This window comes from Homo sapiens, chromosome 2 (assembly GCF_000001405.40).
Source record: "Homo sapiens chromosome 2, GRCh38.p14 Primary Assembly".
Lineage (NCBI taxonomy): Eukaryota > Metazoa > Chordata > Mammalia > Primates > Hominidae > Homo > Homo sapiens.
In genome coordinates, this window is record NC_000002.12 from 190,921,809 (window position 1) to 190,944,521 (window position 22,713).

Genomic DNA, 22,713 nt, shown 5'->3' on the forward strand with positions numbered 1-22,713 from the left:
CGTTAATTTTAAAATATCATGACATTAATCAATATGTAAATGTCCCCATCTCTTCCCCAAATGTCTTTTACAACTTTTATTATTATTTTTTAGATTCAGGAACAAATCAAGGTTCTTACATTGTATTTATTACGATGTCTGTTTTGTCTCTTTACTTAGAACAGTCCCCGTGCCCTTGCTTTCACAAATTTTATTAAATGGCTTTTATTTTTAAAGAGTGCAGGCTGCTTGTTTTATAGACCAGGGGTTGCTGACTTTTTCTTTGAAGGACCAGACAGTAAATATTTTAAGCTTGTGTACCATACGGTCTGTGTTGTAACTTCTCAGTTCTGCTGTTTAGTAGAAAACAGCCATAGACAATATGAGGGTGTGTTATAAAAAACTTTATAAAAACAGGCAGCAGGCCGTATAGTGGATGTTTCCCATTTTGTATTTGTCTGGTTCCTTGTCATTAGAAACACTATAATGTTAAACGTTATCGTAATATTATTATGTTAAACAGTTTTAGCATGTATACTACTATTTTATTCTTATTTTGCACTTCCTGCTTCGCATTTCAGGGGTAAACATTTTCAGGTTGCATGGCTTCCCAACATTAATTCATCAGCTTAAGTATCTTTTCCAGGAAGTATTCCATGAATCTCAACTTGCCTCTTTTCTGTGCTCTTCTGTTACCATATTTTATCAAACTTATTACATGTCTCTCTTTGCCCCATAACCACCATTAGACTCTGCCCTCCTTAAGACCTAGATGGAATGTTGTGTCTTCCAGTTCATTTCTGTATCCCTGTTATCTGGCAGATAATAGGCACTTGAGATAGTGTTGAAGAACTATGTGTCAGTCACTGTGATAACTGCTGACTAGTTAGTCATTTATCTAAACTATGTTGATGTTTTTTTTAAAAGTACGGCAAATTGATAAGAATTTGAAATGTTAAAATGTGCAATTAGAAGGGGCTGTCCACCTCAGTGATATAAAGAACATTAACCACAGTTCCTCTAATATCAGCAGCCCTTTTAGACTTGTAGGGCAATTCTCAAATATACCGCAAATTAAATCTGTCTAAATCAAAACTCATTCTCTTTCTTTCCAAACTGCTCTTTGCTCTAGAGATAGATCCCTGTATCAGTTAATATTATTATCCTCTCAGGCTATGTTAGAAATTCAGGCTTTGTATCAGTCTTTACTCTGCCTCTCCTTTTTCTCATCAGGTTGGAAGATTATCCAACTACTTGCATATTTGATCATACCTCTCCTTCCATTCCTATCACAGCTGCCTAAATTCAGGCTTTTGTAGCTCTCATTACAGTATTCTCTTAATAGATCAGTCATCACTTCTTTTTCCCCTTTTTCAAACTGATGTCAGAGTTATCTTTCCAAAATGCAGATCTGATTAGGTAACTTCTTTGTAAGCCCTCAGGCTTTTGTTTTGTGGGTAGTCAGGAGCTATTAATTATTTGGCATCTATTGGTTTTGATAATTTGGTCCCAGTCTCCTTTGTTTGTTTGATGTTTTCCCACTCCTCTCCATGTGCCATTCCCCAGTTACATCAGAATATTTGCCATTCTTCAGTGGAGCCCTGTCTATATACTTTTCTAACCCGTTCATGATGCATGGAATTTGCCAGTGCCTAGGCCTCACCCTGAAATCTATTAGTCCATTGAGTCCTGCAAGATCCATTTTGTGTTTCCCACTCTCAGTGAAAGTTCCATGATTATGTCAAGTTCCCTGATTATGTCAATTAAAATGGACTCTTATTGTACTTTTGGGTAGCCAGAGGATTCTGCAGTTTTTCAGTGTATTTTAATGGTAGAAGATTTGAGAATTTTAAAATTAGCATTTTTGTTTACAAAATATGAAGACTAGAAAGGACCTGAATTCGTTTCAGTCATTTTATAGCCAAGAAAATGAAGATTGAAAGAATTACCACTTAAATGACTTGTCCAAAGTCACACAAATAGCCTATTGACAGAATTGATTGGAACTCTGTAGTCCTGAATCTTAGTTCAGTGTTCTTTATGCTGTACATTGCTATGCAAATGAAATTATGAACAATCACACTTTTAAAGAAAGTACATAGAGCAAATGTTTTTTTTTCTTCTTCCAGGTTTCAGTCTGAAAGAGAAAGTGGAGATCGAAATTTTGCAATAGGATATTACTTAAAAGAAAAGAAGGTTTTTAAATTTTTGTTTCTATTTCAAATTATTCTTTCATTTAATAAAATACATGAAGATGTATGCTAAGAATTCAACAATAGCCTTTAAGCAACTACCTATTACTATTTAAGGTGCAGAAGTTTTTGCAGAGTGCTCGTGAGTCAGTGTTATCAAATTGTTAATGTTATTGTTAATTTGATTTGTATCTGGCAGCATTTAAATATTTGACTCATATTATTTATTAATACAAATTTTGTTTGAGGTTTAGTCTATTTTTTCAAAAGCATGATGCCTGATTACTGTTAACTACTCTTGATTTTTTTAAGTGGCTGGTCTAGTAACTTGATTTATAAATCATGAATCATTTTATCATTGTCAGTTAAACTAGTATCTAGAAACTTACATGATGTGATAAAATTTTGCTTTTTTATTTCATGTTTATACTCTTTTAGAAGTTACATGCTATTTTATTAATTAAAATGAAACACTTGTGTACATTTGAAATTTTTCATATATTTCTCTACTTATGTGCATTCCTGTGTGCCTGAATTTTTAATTGCCTTTCTGGTTTTTTTAGTGTTTTCCAGAAGGCACAGACATGGTTGGTATATTAGACTTCTACTTCCAGGTAATCTAATTATGTAAATCGTATATATAAATGGATGTGTCGGCTGGGCACGGTGGCTCACGCCTGTAATCCCAGCACTTTGGGAGGCCAGGGCAGGTGGATCATGAGGTCAAGAGATAGAGGTCATCCTGGCCAACATGGTGAAACCCCATCTCTACTAAAAATACAAAAATTATTCGGGTGTGGTAGTGTGTGCCTGTAGTCCCAGTTACTTGTGAGGCTGAGGCAGGAGAATCCCTTGAACCTGGAAGGCCGAGGTTGCAGTGAGCCGAGATCACGCCACTGCATTCCAGCCTGGCGACACAGTGAGACTCCGTCTCAAAATAAATAAATGGATGTGTCACATTATGCAAAATATAGATGTCTCAGAAATCTTGGTTCTAGGCCATGAGAAAATACATTTTCCATTGACTTTCAAAAATGTCTTCATAAAAGGCAGTCTCATGTCCATGCATGTTGCCTAAAAATTCATGCCTCAAAATGTAATGGGGACAATTTTTTCTGTAAACATATTTAAGAATTGTCAAAAATAATGAACACTCCCAGAAATTGGCACTCTTAATTATAAACTGGGCTCTAAATTTTTCGTAGCTTTTACATTTTGTTTGGGAAAAGCTTTATTTTTTATTTTTTTATTTTTTAAATCAGAGGGCTCTTATTCAGCATTTAAAAGTGTCAGTGTCTCAGCTGACTTGGTATCTTGTAATTTCTTTGTTACTACTCTATCCTGGCTTAACTGGTGCTAGTTCATTTCTGCAGTGTCATATGTCGGGCTTTCTTGTAAGTTAGAGTAGCTCTCAATATTGAGGGGGTGGGGTTGAGCGAGAGGGACCGTGTTACGCACAATGGGCTATGGTATAGAACTCAATTTAGAATAGCCTTCCTGGAGATCTCTTCTTTCACCCACATTTTCAGCTCAATTTATTCTTACAGATTTAACACAGTTGGTGCCACTGATGGGGCTGTAATGTGAAGCCACATAGGAGGCTACATTATTGTTAATTTCTAGTTCACCTTACATTTGCCTGTCTTTACTATTAAAGGTTCCTTAATTTTAACCTTTCAGTAATCTTAGAGAATATATAAGGGAGGTTGATAATGAGTTAGATTTTGATAGATGTCCAGGTTGCAGCTTTTCATCGGCCCAATGTGAAAAACCGTAAATTGGGAATCCAGACCATCAATATAAAATTTAAGGTCTAGCCTGGCCACTTATTAGCCATGTGACCTAATTTTAGTTACTGATCCCTAGTTTCCTTATGTGTAGTATATGCGTCACCTGCCTTGCCATATTATGTGGAAGATAACATGAGATGATATGTGAAATTCCTTTGAAACTAGCCTTTTTTTTCCCCCTGGTCTGTATGAATTTTTTCCGTAAGTTTCTTTTCCTTTGGAATACATATTTAAATTTGGCTGTTATAGAATCTACTGTAATGTGACATTTCTATACTTCATTGCAAAAATCAAGAAACAGCCATAGAAGTGGTACTGACTTTTTTGGAGAAGGGCTGCATCAAATTGAACGGCCATTGAGATTAGCAGGAGAGTACCCGAGTTGGCATTTGGCAAATTAAGAATGTGCTGCCTTATGACAAACAAAATTCCAATTAATGTTAAGTATAAATTAGGAAATGATCATTGGAATTCAGAAAGCCTTGCATGATTAAGTCGACCTTATCACAAATCTTTGCTATCTGGGGCAGTATTGCAAGTCGATTCTGTCGTTTTTGAGAAATAGGGAAGAGATTTTTTATATAAATAGGCAATGTAGTCAAAGTTAAACACACAATGTTCTAATTCACTGTACTTAGTTTTCCTCCTTGCTATTTCCAAACCCCTTTGTGCCTCTTGTAGATCTTGGAGTATGGCTGAGGAAAATTTATAAGTTGAACTCATTCTTCTCCTATCCACTTTATTTTTTGACCCCGTCTCATCCCAATTTTGCTTACTATTAGCTAAAAATAAAATGTGGAAAAATTTATTTTCATTTTATGGGTAAATTTGGGTTTGGTACGGTGAACTATTTTCATTATTTTGATTGTATTTAAATGCAAAAATTTTATCCTAGAGGGTATTCTTAGCACCCATAGTAAATATCAAATAAATATTAATAAATGGTCTAAAGGATAACATTTTGGTTTAGGCTTACAGAGCATCTGAGACAGATCTGCTTTATATTTTTCTTCCCCTTTTTCCTTTGCCTGTTACCATATAGATGGGGATGCCGAACTTTGTTATGGGTGAAATGTCAGGCACTGTAGCATTTTTTTCTAAAATGGTGATTTCTCATGTAGACACTATCATAATCTTCATGTATGGTGCTTTATCTTAAAAATATTTCATGGCTCTTTTTTTTTCTGTTGAGTTAAAAGTAATTATGCTTGTGTATTCCACAGAAAGTATTAATATTTAAGCAAATTTGAATATCACATGGGATAATAACAAATCTTAGTGTTTAGAGGCTGGCACTTCCTAGTCTAGTTCTGCCATTAAAAGACTGAGTATCTTTGGCCAAATCAGGGTAAATCTTAAAAGTGGGTAGGACTTCGGTCAACTAAAATCTTCAGAATGTCCTCAAGTTTATATTAAAGTAATCTCTTTGGAAGAAATATTTCAGATCTGTATGAAATACCAAATAAAATAGATTATCTTAAAAGTGAACAGTAATATTAAAAGTAGTATGAGAATTCTGCTTTTTCTTTGTGTTAGCTGTGCTCCATTGAAGTGACTTGTGAATCAGCCAGTGTGATGGCTGCGACACTGGCTAATGGTGGTTTCTGCCCAATTACTGGTGAAAGAGTACTGAGCCCTGAAGCAGTTCGAAATACATTGAGTTTGATGCATTCCTGTGGCATGTATGACTTCTCAGGGCAGTTTGCTTTCCATGTAAGTAATTGTTTAATCTTATTTTCTCTGGCAAGAAACTAGTCTGAACTGGTTCTTTTAAAAATGCAGTTTGAACTTTGCTTCTAAAGCTGTATATTAATTTTTGAGAGAGAGGCTTGTTTTCAAGGTTAATTTGTTACAAGATTAGTAAGGAATAGAGATAAGGTCTACCAGATGTTCTTAAGAACTTGGAAGTTTGATTTATAGAACCTCATCCCTTCTGCTTTTAAGGCAATCCAGTGTACAAGGTTAGTACAGTCTTTCTTTACTTTTTGTTTTTAATGTTTAGCATTATGATTATGTATCTTAAGAATTCTCTAAGTTCAGAAAGATTGCAAAGATGTGACGTTTCACATCTTTGGTTACGGCCATAGCTGTTTTAAGGACTAAAAGTGTATTAAAGTTAAAACTTAACAAAAATGTACTGCTTTAAGCTCTGTTGTGCATTTGCCACTTGTAAAGTATATAGACTTTTTTTATTTCATTCTGCTCATGTCAAGTCATAATGCCCTTCTAAAAGCTTTTTTTATTTTGGAAATTTTCAAACATGTAAAACGAGAGAGAGAGAGAGATACATTTAATGTTATCCATCACTCAGCTTCATTAATTATGAATACATTACTAATCTTGTTTCATCTGTATGTGCATCTGTTTCCCCTATCCTTGTCATATTTCAGTATGTAATTCTAAATAAGGATCCTTAACAAAACATAACAATAATACAGTTTTTACATATAAAAATTAAATATTACATATCAAAACTTTAATATCATTATTAATATCAATATTAAATTGAATATCAAAATATTTAGTTAGTGTTTAGATTTCCTGGATTATCTTGTAAATTATTATTTCTTTTTTTTTTTTTTTGAGACGGAGTTTCACTTTGTTGCCCAGACTGGAGTGCAGTGGCACGATCTTGGCTCACTGCAACCTCTGCCTCCTGAGTTCCAGCGATTCTCCTGCCTCAGCCTCCCGAGTAGCTGGGATTACAGGCGCCTGCCACTGCACCTGGCTAATTTTTGTATTTTTAGTAGAGATGGGGTTTTGCCATGTTGGCCAGGCTGTTCTCGAACTCCTGACCTCAAATAATGCACCTGCCTCAGCCTCCCAAATTGCTGGGATTACAGGTGTGAGCCATTGCACCTGGCCTATTATATTATTTTATAGTTTGTTTGACTTAGGATACAGATGAGGTGCATACATTATGATTGGGTTTTGTCTCCTTTTTTTTTTTTTTTAAATCTATTGGTCTTCTTTTGACCTGTCTCTCTTTTTTTCTTGTTATTTTTGGTTGGAAAAACTGGGTAATTTAGTCTATACAGTTTTCCACTGTCTCTACATTGCTGATTACCTCTGTTCCATTGTCCCTTGTATTTCCTATAAATTTGTAGATCCAATTCAGGTGTGTTTTTTTTTTTTTTTTTTTTTTTTGGTCTGCTTGTTTTGTTTAGTTTTGTGTAAAAGTACTTTATTGGTATACTTCTTTTATTTTTGTTTGTTTATTTATTTATTTATTTTGAGACAGAGTCTCACTGTGTCGCCCAGGCTGGAGTGCAGTGGCGTGATCTCGGCTCACTGCAACCTCCATCGCCTGGGTTCTAGCAATTCTCCTATCCAGAGGTACTGACTGACTGAATGTTAGTAAGCAATTAATGAACACTGCTCTAATGACATTAATTTTTTTTTTTATCATTTGTCAAGTTTTGCTAATGTAACTTAAATTTTTTGAGGAGGAGTAATTTAAATTACCATTTTAGAAAATCTTTTAAGAATATATAACTTTTTATTGTTTTCTAGTTGTAAAATATTTTTAAAAAATAATTTGTTATATTTAAAAACAATACGTTTATCTTAGAACAATTAGAAAATATAGTCAGGAAGAATAAAAGCATCCATAGCCTCACAATTTAGATGTAACTGCTATAATTCCTTAGAATGTATCTTTAAACAATTTTTCTATATTCATATCTATCCCAAACTGTTTCATAATTTTTTTTTTTTTGAGATGGAGTCTTGCTTCGTCACCCAGGCTGGAGTGCAGTGGTGCGATCTTGGCTCACTGCAACCTCTGCCTCCCAGGTTCAAGCGATTCTCCTGCCGCAGCCTCCCGAGTAGCTGGGATTACAGGTGCCTGCCACCACACGCGGCTAAGTTTTGTATTTTTTGTGGAGACGGAGTTTTGCCATGTTGCCCAGGGTGGTCTTGAACTCCTGACCTCAGGTGATCTGCCCACCTCGGCCTCCCAGAGTGCTGGGATTACAGGCATGAGCCACCGCACCCGGCCTTATAACTTTATTTATAAACATGTTGATAAAAATTTATCTACAATATTTTTAATGTTGAAATTCTATGGTATGTATATATATATATTTTTTTTTTCGAGAGGGAGTCTCACTCTGTTGCCCAGGCTGGAGTGCAGTGGCATGATCTCAGCTCATTGCAATCTCTGCCTCCCGGGTTCACCTTTCTCCTGCCTCAGCCTCCCGAGTAGTTGGGACTACAGGCGTGCACTTTGGGAGGCTGAGGCGGGCGGATCACAAGGTCAGGAGATAATTTTTAATTTTTAAACCAATTTCCCAATTGTGTTTTTTTTTTTTTTGAAACTGGATCTTGCTCTGTCATCCAGGCTGGAGTGCAGTGGTGCGATCATGGCTCACTGTAGCCTTGACCTCCTGAGGTCATGTAATCCTCCCACATCATCCTCCAGAGTAGCTGTGACTACTGGTGTGCACTTCCATGTCTCACTGTTTTTTGTAGAGACGAGATCTCCCTGTGTTACCCAGCCTAGCCTCCAACTCCTGGGCTCAAGTGATCTGCTTGCCTTGGCCTCCCAAAGTGCTGAGATTACAGGAGTGAGCCATGGTGCCCAGCCCCAGTTTCCCTATTGTTGAACATAACATTTCTTATTTTAAAATGTTTACCTGAATACTCTTTTACTGAATTATTTTTAGGTTGGTCTTCCTGCAAAATCTGGAGTTGCTGGGGGCATTCTTTTAGTTGTCCCCAATGTTATGGGTATGATGTGCTGGTCTCCTCCTCTGGATAAGATGGGCAACAGTGTTAAGGGAATTCACTTTTGTCACGTAAGCATATTTTCTTAATGTAAATAATGGTGTTACAAGTTGAGCCATCCAATGATTCTTTTTTTTAACCCATTTTCCATAGTTCATTAACTCTTGGCCCTCCGCCTATAGTGTGCCAGTTACTAGGGAGCCGTGGAAATACTCCCAGAGGAGCTTCAAGTTGTCTCTGTCAGACAGCTCCCATTTAATTATTCCCACAGATTATATTTGTTAGATGCTAATATTTTAATTTTCATGGTTATAATTAGTATGAATTTTCAAAAGCTCAACAAAAGGTATTAAACTTGGAGAAGTAATTTAAAAGCCAGTATATCTTAAGAATTATTTTGGTTTATTATATCTTTAATCTGCATGGTTAAATATCTTTATCCATTGACTACCTTTAAACATTTTTTTGAGGAAATAAGCACTGAAAATTAAAAAAAGATTAAACCATTTTTAAACTGTTACTGCTCTTGATAGTTCTGTATTTTGTTGTTACCCAGTTCCTGCTAATGTTTGAGCTTCTAGTTTTAGTTACATTGATTACTTGCTTGAGTTCATATTAAGTACCATACTCAATTAAAATTGTTTTATTTTCCAGTCTTTTATATTTTACAAAAACTAGAGTATGACCTTGGAGTGCATATAAAATATAGTAGATTGTAACCAGAGTACTTATTTATATTTTAATGTGGCTTTACACTTATTTGATAGAAGAATTCTTTCATGGGGCCGGTTATAAACCCTATTTTGTAGAAGATGAAAGATGATTTGATTGGCTGAGCCCTAGGATCATGTTAGTAAGCAGTGTTCTTAAAACTTATATCCATATCTTACTCTGATTTTAGTTCTCTTCTTGATGCATTATACTACTTTATTAGCATGTAGTGATGATTTCTAGGCTGGACGATATAAGCAGAGTTTGTTAAAATATGGATATATATAACCAATGAATAGCCAATTTCTTATACCTGCTCTGTATAACTGTTTACAGGATCTTGTTTCTCTGTGTAATTTCCATAACTATGATAATTTGAGACACTTTGCAAAAAAACTTGATCCTCGAAGAGAAGGTGGTGATCAAAGGGTAAGCAAAATTCTTATTTAGATAAGTATATAAAATTTTTAAGAAGAGAAAAAGTGAGATTTGCCTGTATAAATAAAATCTTAGTTTGTTAGTGGCCTCGGGTCTTTGCTAATCATAAATGAGTGTAAACAAATTGTTGACATATAAATCCGGGATCACCAGTATTAAATACTTAAAGATTGTTTAATAGATAGTTAATAGATACAGATATTTAAATATTGCTGTTTTGTTATTTAAATTGAAACTAGTTAGCCTAGTGTCAGGGATTTCCCCTTCCATTTTCTGCTATTTTAAGCAAGATTTTTAGAATTGATTCTGTTAAAAAAAGAACAAAACAAAACATTGGAATGTGCTGCATGCTATAAAGAAAGCATCGTTTTAATATTTGTTCGTCCTAAATTGAAGTTTAACTTCTTGCATACTGTGTAGATGGATATGTAAATGGAAAAGGATTATCATATTAGTGAGAGACCGTATGAAGCCTCAAAAGTTTTATAAGTCACTGTAGATGAAATATTTTTTTCCACCGTGTTTAATGCAATATTCCTAATAATCTTACGGTCCTATTTGTTTGTTACGAGTTTATTTGGCTTCATACTATTGTACACATATATTCCTTTTTTTAGAAGTAGTATTAAGAGTCAGGACTTAACTTTTTTGGTCTATATAGTTTTTCACTGTACCAAGGGGCTTGTGCTGAGAATTTTGATTCAGTTTCTTTGCGTACCATATTGAAAATGTTTGTAGTAAAATTACCTAATTAGACCTCAAGATAATATGAAGAACTTCTAAGTAGAAAATATTTTTAATACATACTAAGTACATTTTCTGTAGTGCTAAACTAAATTTTTGTTAGTTTTTATCAAATTAATTTCTGTTACTATGTAAGAATTATGCAAAACCAACAGAATAGAAACTTCCATGGGAGTCGACCTGAGTAACATGAAGCAAAATGTCAGAGGTGGTGGTTTAAAATGTTAACATTTTAATAATGCTCATTGAAAAATACCATTTTATAGCTTGGACCTTTCTTCACTCAAGTGCACTAATAAATTATGTATGTTGCTTGAACAACTAGCATTCCTTTGGACCATTGGACTATGAAAGTCTCCAACAAGAACTTGCTTTAAAAGAGACAGTATGGAAAAAAGTGTCACCTGAGTCAAATGAGGACATCTCTACAACTGTAGTATATAGAATGGAAAGTCTGGGAGAGAAAAGCTAAAGAAATGGGTTCTAGTTTCAGAATGTTTCTTCATTTAATCTTTCAAACATCTTTAGCTTTTTTTTGCAAGTTATAAATATTTATTTGAGGTATTTTTTGTTCTCAATCTTGGGTGCTGGAGCCATAAAGCTTTTTTTTCCTTTTAATCTTTGTATAAAGGCAGTAGATTAAGAAGTGCATTTGTTGGTCTTTAAAAAGTATTTACAAGTACATAAATTTGCTTTATTTTTAAAAATACAAAAAGGAAAAATTTAAATTTTTTTTGATGTAATTAAAATGTTAACTATGTGGTCAGATAATCCCATTTTACAATAGTAACAGAAAATTGTAATTCTTAGTTCTAAAATTCACAAATTAAACTCATAAGTTTTGTTGCATTTTGTTTTTTCTTTTCCATTTTTAAAACTAATGTGATGTCTTTAGTGGCAATAGAAGGTACTTCTATGCTAAATACAAAACTAAAAAGGCAAAATAATGAACCCCAAATTATTTTATTTAAAATAGCAGTGGATTATAAAATTAGCTTGTGTTTACATTTATGCCATTTTTGGTGATAGATTGGCTTTACATTTTAAAAAATTTATTTAAAAATTTATCAAATGCTTTAAAATATGACTCCTACTTTTTTTATTTTGCAACTCCTCTGTTCTGTCAGAGTTGTTATATACAGGAGTGTCTTATGTTACTAAAACATTCCAGCCAAAGAATTTCAGATGTGAGATAATGATGTTTCATCAATAAAAAGCTATAATGGTTAGTTACTCAGAAGGAGAAACAGTGAGTGTCTTCAAGTGAATTGTTCACCTAAACAATTTTATTTTCATATTATCCACATAACTTTTTCTATGTTATATTTAAATATGAATGGCAAATTTTGGTTTTTAGCTTTTACATTTTATTATCTTAATTTTATAAATGCTAATATTTCTTTTGTGATAAGTTATAGCATCTCATAAAGTTTGTTCTATTTGAAGTTTTTTAGAGTACTTGAGAAATGAATTTAGTCTGCAGGTAGTAAGTATGCTACTAAAATACGTTAGATCTAAATCCTTTTATTTGGTATAAAAATGCAATATTGAGAATCAAAACTTGTTTTTAAGAGAACTATAGATTCTACACAACCTGATTTCAAGTAATTATTCATAGTATTTATAGTTGTCTTGGCAAAGTGATTGTAAAATTCTGTAGGACCTATTCACACTTCTTCCTTCTTCCATATACTTCTCTGGTTTTCCCCATAGTTCCCCTATAATTTCAAGTTTGTTGAAACCTGTTAATTTTAGTGGGGGATTAGAAGAAAAACTTGGTGGTTTCTTAGCATGATGGTGTATGTATGTGGTAATGGAAAGTCTGTAAAAGTAAATATAGTGTAGCAAAAAAGATTTCACTGAGTATTTTAGATACTAGTGCAAATAAAGATAGAAAATCTTGATCATAATGTCTTAAGTTTGGGAACTGTGATATTAAGAAAAGAAATTCCCTTCTAGAGGTGCTGGCCAAAAAGCCTTTTGGGCTAACTTAAGTATTAAATTTATATATTTAAATAATTATATTTTAAGTTGTAGAGGATTTTCCCAAGGATTTTATGCTTACTTGAATGTTCTTTGAATGTTCAGATGCATATCCTAACTGGATGCTTCTCAAGGCCTTACTGCATATTTGTGTTGCATATTTATGTTAGTTGCACCAGGGCCATTTGTAGTTTGGGCAACCGAATGCCTTAATTGGAAAAAAGGCATTGTGGTTTCCCCTATGATCTAAATTGTTACATTTTACCATTTCATTCCGAAGTTGGTTTTACTTTATTAAATGAAGATTTAGTTTTCATATCGTATACATAGCTGTATAGATTTCAAAATTAGGTTGTTAATTTGTGTCACTTACTATTTTTGTGTTGGTAATGCTTTAAATGCATACTTAAAAATGAAGTACTGTTATCTAAGCTACTGTGTTTAGAAAATGTTAAGAATGAGCAGAAATTTTTATAGAAAAGTATAAACGGAAGAAGAGATAAGATACTGCGAATAGGCCCTCAAACTTAAAAAAGAAAAAACTTTGCCAGTTTTAAGGACATATTTTGATTCTTTCAGTATTCTTAACACCTTTTTAAACAAAGTTCTTGATAGTACCCACTATTATTGGGTTTGTTTTATGCCATTATTGATTCTTGATATTCAAGCATTTACAATGTAGCATATTTGATTTTCTTTTTTCTTTCTTTTTTTGGCATCATTAACATTTCATTTGAAATGCATATTGTTCTTGAAGTACTTTGTTTTTAGCATAAATGTTGTGCATTTTATCTTAGTGTTTGGATGAAAACATTTGTGTTGTTTAGCTTTCATTTGCTTTGTATATTTAATAATGTACCTTTATTTTCCAGTATGCCTACATTTTGTATTGCACAATAAATTTATTTTAAGCTGATTTTATTGTTTTTTTTGTTTTGTTTTGTTTTGTTTTTATAAAAGCAACTTCAACATTTTAAGTACAAATACAGTTGGGATTTTAACTTAGAAAAAATTATTCTTTATGAAGATACTGTTAAAGTGTTTGCTATTCTGAAGCTGCCTCAAAGTAAACTAGAAATATTCAAAAGGGCTTTATTTGATTTTTTAAAATGCAATATAGCATTAGTGGTTTTTTTGGGAGGAGGACTTTTCTTATTGGTTGTACTAGAAGTATTTGAATAAAAACTTTTCTCTCAATTTTTTTGGTGGTTTTTCCATTTGGTAACTTTAAAAAAAGTGCAACCCTATTTGTAGGTTATTTCTGCTTTCTGAGGAGGAATATTGTTGTTATTCACTATGTAACTCTCATTTTATCTGTTGTTGCCTAAATAATAGGAAAAACATTGCTAAACCAAATGAAGAGTATCATCATATTGCTTTAGAATAAAACTGTTAATCTCAGTAGAATTTATATTAAACAGAATGACAGTGATACAGAAATTCACCTTAACTGGTTTCTGAGGGGATTACATTTTCAGAAGGAATTTTGTATATTTCCACAGCATGATCCAAATTATAGTACAAATTATAGAGGCTCCATGTATTGTAGGTCAAATATAGTACTTTACATTTTTATGTTTAATTAAATCTGCCATTCATATTCTGGAGATTCCTGAATATATTGTAGAAGTTTTAAAACTATTTGAAAGGGGAAATACTGTTGTTTACATGAATTTGTATTAATCTGTGGGATTTTTAAATGAAGTTCTTTTAGAATTAGTTAATAAGGAGTTCCAGTATAATGATATATTCAATATATGTAACAGTTTATGATTACTTGCTTTTAAAGATTTTTTTAAAAAATTTATTTGAAGTAAAGAGAGAGGAGACTTAAAATACCTGGTGATCTTGATCTGACAGTGTATATTTAATAGGCATATATTTATGTGGAAAGAACTGCTGAAATATACTGATATGTCAGCCTATATCCTGATAATTTATATATAATGTGTGGGTTGCATATGTTTGTGCATATGTATATACGTTTGTGCATACATATATATGATTTCCTTATCTATGTACCTTAATCTACCCATTCATATTCTGAAAATGATGAGCAGTTCTTTTCACATTGTGTACTATGTATAAATTATTCATTGATCTATTCCTGTTCCAAGCTTTGACACAAAAGAACCCCTAAAATTTTTGCTGCCCTAGAATTGGTAAAGTATAACATACTTTACTTCTTCAATTTGACTTTAAAGATTTGTGGTTTCTGTTACCATTCCCATTCACTACCAGGACTGCCAGGGTAAGAGAGTAACTAACAATATTGGGGGAACTCTGGAAAAGTGAAACCAAGAATATTAGATTTCATGTGGAATTTAAAGCACTTTCCAAAATGTATTATAAGGAAGGATTGTATTTTTTAAATTGTTTTTGACTTAAAAGAAGTAATGCACTTATATTGAGCAGTTTATGGAACAGTTTTATTTAGTTACTGTGGTACAGTTTTTAGTTTTAAGAATCTGTTTTACTATTCATCTGTAAAAAGTTTGGTTTTTCTCCTACATGGCCTTGAAAATGCTAGAAAGCATTTTTTAAAGGTATACGATCAGAATACTTAACGTGTGATTTCTTCTCAATTACTTCTCTACCATTTTATATTTAATGTTGTATTTGCATTGTGTAATAAAACCAAAACCAGATGTTGGAGATGTAGCATAAATGGAAATTTGTTACCATGCATGATGGCCTTATGCTCAGATTTTCATTTAGACTTACTGAGAATGGACTTTACCTTACTCGGTCTTTTCTCTGTCATGTAGTTCAAGGGCAAAATTATACATAAACATACACTCAAGTATATCCAAGTTCAACTATTTTTCTTTTATTTCAAATTGTAACAAAGTTAAAAACCTTTGTTTGTTAACATTGCTTAGAAATGGAAGGAATTTAATTAGAAATGGAAGGAATTTAATTGGGTTGGGGGAAGTTCTTTTATTTTATACCCCAACCTCCAGCTAGTAGTTTATTAATCTGAATACCATAAAATGCACATGACTTTGAGAAATTTAGAAAACTACTCTAAGAGGATCTGAGGCAATATTTATCCAACATGAAACAGCGGGCAAAATGTGATGTTTCGTAGAGTTCTTAACTTTTTAAATAGTAATAGAAAAGGTACTTATTTTTAAAATAGTATGTTAAGTAGACTGATTATAAATGCTTATTTAACAAAGTGATTCTGTTACTATGGTCTTAAAATGTTTTCTATTTTATGAACATAGGAGAGGAAGAGAATTTAAGTTGACTTTGTTTGCCATTTCTATTTTGTAGATTGTAGATCTACTTTAGTAATTTTTGTAAGTTGTAGCTAATAGAGATTTTTTAAATATGCCATGTATAGAAAACCTGTTTTCATAAAAAACTTTATAATGGCTTCCTGATCCATTAACCCTTAACCAAAATGAATAGGATACTAATTAGCACTTGGATTGCATTGCTTTTTTGGCGGAATCTGTGGGTTTTTTTTTTTTTTTTTGTAAATTTCATTCACCAGTAAATTACAGAATACTTATTATTGAAAACCATCATGTATTGCTTTAAAACAAAAGTTATAATCTTGCCCTCAAAAGGCAAGCGTTAGAAACAGGTGAGCTGGTGCCAACTGCTTCTGTCGGTTAATCTTGTAACATTTTTACTATACATTTAACTCTAAATCTCATTTACTAATTATGGAATTTTTTTAAAGAAAAATTATATACCACATCTCAATGGCAAAGAATAATTCATTGTATTTATTTTTAAGCCATATTTCAATATCTGAGGATATGATTTTTCTGTACATAGTATGATTAAAAATAATGGTATTTTTTCATTAGGTATTTACCTTGCTGAAACACTTTCAGGCCTTAAAACCACAGATAATTAAAATTATCTATTTGGAAGGCTTAGCTTTTGAAAGAAAAAATTCTTACCCAAAGTAGTTTTTAAATTTCTATTTTCATATTATGTTTCTGGTGATTTATGTTTATATAATGAAAATCTCCTCTGCACAGCAATTATATTTGGAATCCTGAGCTATAATTAAATTTATATTCTGTAAAACAGCCGAAGGCTTTCTTTTGTTTTTAAAACATAGTCCAACCTTTCTAGAATTTTGATGTACTTTTATTTACCATAATCTTATATATTTTTTAGAATCACAGATTTGAATTTGAAAGTAATCTTAAATGTTACCTGGTACAGACTCCCACCCCACTCAGCCCCCTTTTCCAGGTTTCCTAGCACTTTGCTTTTTCTATTAGCATATTTAGATTTTTTTCTCTTGAGGGGGTTGGTCTGTTTTGTGTTTTGTTAGGATGGACTTTCTGTTTGTAGATGTTTCTGTTTGTGGTTTAGTTTTAATGAGAGAAGCATAATTGGCAGTAGTTAATGTGACTATAAGTTATTTGGCAGATGGTACCATCAGCATTTATTAAAACTAATTGTATTTTTCTAGTAAGCAGTCTTATGTCCCAGTTGTTAAAAATTAGTAAAGTTAGAAGTAAATGTTAAAGTTACACAGTAGTTCTAAAAATAAAACATTACCCTGCAATCTTTGAAAGAAAACTGTAGCAGAAATGTAAATCTAAAAATAAATGTTACATCACTGGCTTTTTAAAATAAATTCCTTTGAGGTTAGATTAAATATATAAGTAAAACGATTTTAAATAAATAGAAGACTAGTCAAGTTCTAAACAAATGGTTTCTTAAGAAAAATTTGTTTTCTTTGCATGTTAGCTCTTGGAAAACATGCAAAATATCTAGCTACTTCCCTTGTTTATTTTAGACATTTGGATCTGTGAGTGGCCCCCAAGTTTCCTAATTTGTCTGTTTATTTACTCTGTCTATAGTACATGTTGTCTTCAGTATCAATCTCCATTTCATAGTTCTGGAGTTTTAATATTTATGAAGGACTGTGTGTATTGAGTTCTTGAAATATGTTAACTTTTGAAAGGCTTTGTTGACTTACAAAATGTTAAAACTTAAATATTGTTGCTCTCAAAATATTATAGTATTGGTTTCTTAATTCTGAAAATTTAAACTGCCTGAGTAGCTCTTCTCCCTACAAGTTTCAGTATAAACTCATTCAATATAAAGTCTGCTTGCTTTTATATTATGCATTCCAAAATAAAAATGATGAAATATTAGTATCAGTTACACAAATGTAACTACTCACATTTGAACCATTTTATTGTAAAATTCAACTTTCAATTATGATAATCAGTCTCTTGCTGAACTTTTTAGATCTAGATGAGAATTATAAATTTTTGTTATTTTATATGTGTTATATGTGTTTATATATGTTTTATATTGTGTTATTTCACAAATCATCACAAAAGGGCAATTTCAAAGATTCTTTTGAGAGGACAGCTTAAAGCTTAATCCTTAAGGCTTGACTTTCTTCTATTAAATGAGATTGATACCTAAAATCATGGTATAAATTATTAATTGAATTCCACCCAAGTTCTGTTGTTTTGTTCTTTCTCACAGTCATTCCAAATTAAAGATTTTAGTTGAAAAACTCAGAATATATTATCTAAATTTCAAATATTCTATTTTTTATTGTTTCATATTATAATTTATTTTGGGCCAAAATGAGGTAATTTAAAAAATTATATCAAAGTTACTCAGGAAATGGGTTTTCAGTTCCGTATCTTTATATATGTTCACTTCCAAATCTTTTGATGTTGACATTTGCCATTGTAGTTTAATTTTCTTTAAAAAGTTCGAAAGAAAACCACACATGAAATGTAAAAGTCCAAATTTCTCTTCTTCAGTATAATATAGCTTATTCTTTATTTATTATTTTACTTAGATCCTTGAAGTATATGCATCATTGATCCAGGTCTATGCACAAGATTTATAATGTAAATAAAGAATGAACTAAATAATACTGTTTGAGATGAATATTTGAATTGAGATGAATAAACGTTGCATCTAATGCACAATGAAACTTCATTGACATCTGATGAAATTACAGTACAAGTGATTTTGTTAACATTCTATGGTGACTAATACTATTAATCCTTTTTAATCATACCAATAAAATATTTCTGCCTTAATGTCTCTTTTTACTGGACTATGAAGAAACAATTCTGCTGTTAAAGGATAACCAAAAAAATAACTTCCACCTATCTGAATGCCCTTATTCTGGCAAATTAGCAGTTTTATTGTAGACGTACCCACTTTAAGTTGCTCTGCTTCTCTTCTAGAATTGCTTTTGTAATAAGTGTAAATTTGTAGTCAGATAACTCATTGCTTTTATGAAGTTGCTTTCCCACTTGTGTGACCTTAAGAAAGTGGCTGAAGTCCAGGATTCTTCTGGCTTCCTGGTTTCCATTTCAATATTTTCAATCCCTGTTTTACTTAGTTAGCAAACTTTTTTTTTTTTTTAATGCCTTCTAAATAGGAATTTTGTTCTCCTCATGTTGTTTTCTTCTCTTCATTTCTGGTACCCAACCAATATCCAAGATTAGATCCCTCTATATAAATGAAAATGTATAACCTTTAAAATTATTTTCTTTTGGTCTTTTTTTCTACCAAGTAAGAACTAAAAAAGATTACCATCCCCCTCAGCATTTCACTAGTTTTTGTTCAAACAGCACACAAACAGAATTATTTCAAGATATTTAGCTAATTAAATTTGATTGTGCAATTCAGATCTATATAAATTAACCTTAGCATTATTCCTGTGCTTTATTATTCACTGATAGGTTCTTATTCAACTAATGTTTATTTCTTGCCTAATATGTGCCAGAAACCGTGAAGTGTTTAGGATATGCAGTGAGTGGTTAATGAGACAAGTATGATCCAACTTGTGTTTGCAATTAAGCAGGGATACAGGTACTGAATAAATACTGAAAATAATTAAAATGGTAATAAGTGATTTGTTAATACTGATGCATGTAGATCTAATTCATTTTAAATGTTACAAAATAAGTTACAAAATGGTATATGCCATATGATGCTATTTTTGTACATCTATAATAAACTTTATGAGACACAAATATGCAATGTAGTTACTAATAAAACTATAAGAACATGAACACCAATCTTTAGATAAAGCTTACTGCCAGGAGGGAATGGAATGGATGCAGAGAGCATGGTTAGCTGTATCTTTAATGTTTCATTTCTTTAAAAAATATTTCAGCAAATATAATGATAATGATAGAAAAGTAAAAAAATGCTAGGAGAGGGTACAATAAGAACTTGTTTTGTCTGGGTGGTTAAATATGGTTGGTTTTCACTGGAAGGTAATACAGTGTGTAAGTTTTGAAGGAGTCAGAGGAAATATGGAATAGTGTTAATAGGCTAGTCTGACTTGAAGGCCCCAGAACAGGAAGGAGTTTAGCACATTTGAGAAGGGGAAAGAAGAAGGCAAATGCGCTGAAGAAGAGTGAGGTGAGGTGGATGGAGATTGGCTGTGGATGACTCCTAAGAGATGGGGCCATATTATGTAGAGTGGGCCTTCTCATATTTCGATGTACATCAGAATTGTTAGAGTGTCTTAATTTTAAAATACAGCTAGCTTCCTGGGGCCCATTCCTACAGTTGGATTCAAAAATCTAAATGTTTAATGTGCACCCCAGGTGCTTCTGCTGTAGGTTGTCCTCAGGACACAGTTTGGGAGACATTTCTGAAAGGTCTTATATGCTATATTAAGAATTTTGGACTTTATTCAGAGTTTAGTGTGAAACTTTGAAGACTTTTTTTTTTTTTTTTTTTTTTTTTTTTTTGAGACGGAGTCTTGCTCTGTCTCCCAGGCTGGAGTGCAGTGGAGTGATCTTGGCTCACTGCAAGCTCCGCCTCCCGGGTTCACACCATTCTCCTGCCTCAGCCTCCCGAGTAGCTGGGATTACAGGGGCCTGCCTCCACGCCTGGCTAATTTTTTGTATTTTTTAGTAGAGACGGGGTTTCACCATGTTAGCCAAGATGGTCTCGATCTCCTGACCTCGTGATCCGCCCGCCTCGGTCTCCCAAAATGCTGGGATTACAGGCGTGAGCCACCACACCCGGCTGAAACTTTGAAGACTTTAAAAAAGGGGAGAGAATGATTTGGTTTTTAAATACTGCTCTGCGGAGAATGGATTAAAGAGAGAGAAAGTTGAAGTTTTGGACTCGAGATGTGTTGGTGGCTTGGACTAGAGGTGAGAGAAATAGGTAAATAAGAGATGTGTTTAAGAAATAGGATTGGCAGCACTTGGTGATCGTTTTTGGTGGGTGAAAAGGAATGCGATATCAAGCTGACTACCAGGTTTTTAGTATGAGCAACAGGGCCAAAGCTGCTGCATTAACTAAGATGGAGAACACTGGAAAAGCAAACCTTGGGAGTATGGGAAGAAATTAGTTTAACTTTGGCTATTGTAACAATGAAGGATCTGTTTGATTGTGGATATCAGGAGGTTGATTGACAGTGCTTTAAACATATGGGGGTTATTTTTCTAATATAACAGAAAGTCTCAGGGACTATCAGGGAAACCAACCAGGGCTAGTGCCATTAGTAAGGTAAACTTCTGTTACACAAGCCTTAAGTGTGTTGATCTTAGAAATCACGCCTATCAACTTAGAGTTGCAAGGTGGCTGTTTCATCTTTAGCCTCACCTGTATGGCCAAAGTGGGAGAAAAAGAAAAGAGTGATATCTAAATCTAAAGAAAGAAGCTTTACTGGAAACTCACCTGACGCTCATTGACCAGACTAACTGCAAGGGAATCTGGGAAAGTGTTTTTAATTGGACACAATACTACCTTTAACAAATAGAGGTTCTGTTAGTATGGAAGGGGTGGGTAGTGGATAATGGTTAGACAACTATCAGTATGTAGAAGCTAGCTAATGTTTGAGATATTTGTGAGATATCTAAGTAGTGATGTTGAGTAAGCAGTCAGATTTAGGCCTAAAACTTAGAGCAGTGTAAGTTGGAGCTATAATTTTGTGAGTGGTCAGTATGAAGAGTAGTATTTGAAGCTGGGGTGGTGTGTGAGATTGCTTAAGGTGATAGTATAAAGTGATAAGGAAAGTGTATCAAAGACAGAACCCTAAGAAACCATCATTTTAAAGGTAAGATAGAGTAGGAGAGGCTTCCACTAGGGAAAGGTGGCCAGAGAAGAGAAAATCCAGCATAGTGCAATATCAGCAGTCAAGGAAAGAGTATTTTAAGGAGTTTGGAGCATTGAACTGTATGAAAGCATAGATAATTTAGTAAGATGAGGGTTTTATATTTACATGATGTCCTTTCTAAATTTTTTTTAGATAGAACAATTGCTTTATTTTTTAGTGTCTTAAAATATGCTTTTCTCCAGCAATTTTCTGTATTATATGTTGGAGGAGCCTGCTATGTAATTTGAATAATAAAGTGGCTATGAAAGTGCTTTGAAAAGTTACAGCATTAGAGAAACATACTGTTATTACACCTCTTCTGTGAGTATGCTCCATAAAGCACACATGTTGAACGTTTCACAATAGAAATGTGAAATAAACATTGAAGAATATAGGGAGTTAAGTAAGGCTCTGGAGACCAGTGAAAATGAGGGATTTCTTTTCTAACATTAAAGCAATTAGTAAAGATTGTGTTAGTATTGTGGGTTGGAATAACTATAGAAAACTCAAGTCCATGTGCCTGGCTTTGTTATAGTAGCAGGATTTGAGGCATGCTAAGAGAAATAGGACCTTAAACTCTGAATTGAAACCATAATTCTTCCTGTATGAATGCTAAAACCGTGTTGTTTCACAGCAGGAAGAGAACCTCATCTATTTTCAGGGACCTTGTTTGTATTTATTTATTTTTAATTTACACAAAATGGTGTCTTTGTAAGAATAGTTTGATTCCAATGGCCTGGATTTTTTTTTTTTGTTTAATATGTGTATTTGGTGATGAATGTCTTCTCTTCCTGTCTTAAATTCGCTTTTAAGTTCTTTGACTTTTGGGTTTTATGTACTTGTTTTTTAAATATAGCACTTTATCATTCCAGAAATGTGGAACCTTGTCCTCTATCCTAACACACTAATGTAATATTCACTAATGTTCATGAACTTTTACAAAAACTTGTTTGTATAATAGTGGGAGAAGACCAGAAAGATAGTGAATGAGAAACTTTGATAGTTGTCTGTGCAATACAGATATGCTTAAGGTCTGCAGTTTTGTTCTTTGGAGGAGTAGCTGTCT

The 22,713-nt window shown here is 32.9% G+C and overlaps 1 protein-coding gene across 7 annotated transcripts in view; it reads left to right on the forward strand.

Annotated features, from left to right (window-relative positions):
• Positions 1–22,713, forward strand: part of GLS (glutaminase) — an 84,732-nt gene that overhangs the window by 40,988 nt on the left and 21,031 nt on the right. For 5 of the 7 annotated variants that reach the window (NM_014905.5, NM_001437282.1, XM_047443957.1 and 2 more), the window contains 5 exons: positions 2,109–2,175; positions 2,735–2,785; positions 5,498–5,674; positions 8,629–8,760; positions 9,737–9,829. In NM_014905.5, coding sequence (NP_055720.3) covers positions 2,109–2,175; positions 2,735–2,785; positions 5,498–5,674; positions 8,629–8,760; positions 9,737–9,829 — 520 coding nt within the window. Of the gene's footprint in view, positions 1–2,108; positions 2,176–2,734; positions 2,786–5,497; positions 5,675–8,628; positions 8,761–9,736; positions 9,830–10,848; positions 13,482–22,713 lie in introns of those variants that run through there. The other 2 variants (NM_001437283.1, NM_001256310.2) reach the window with 2 other exon arrangements.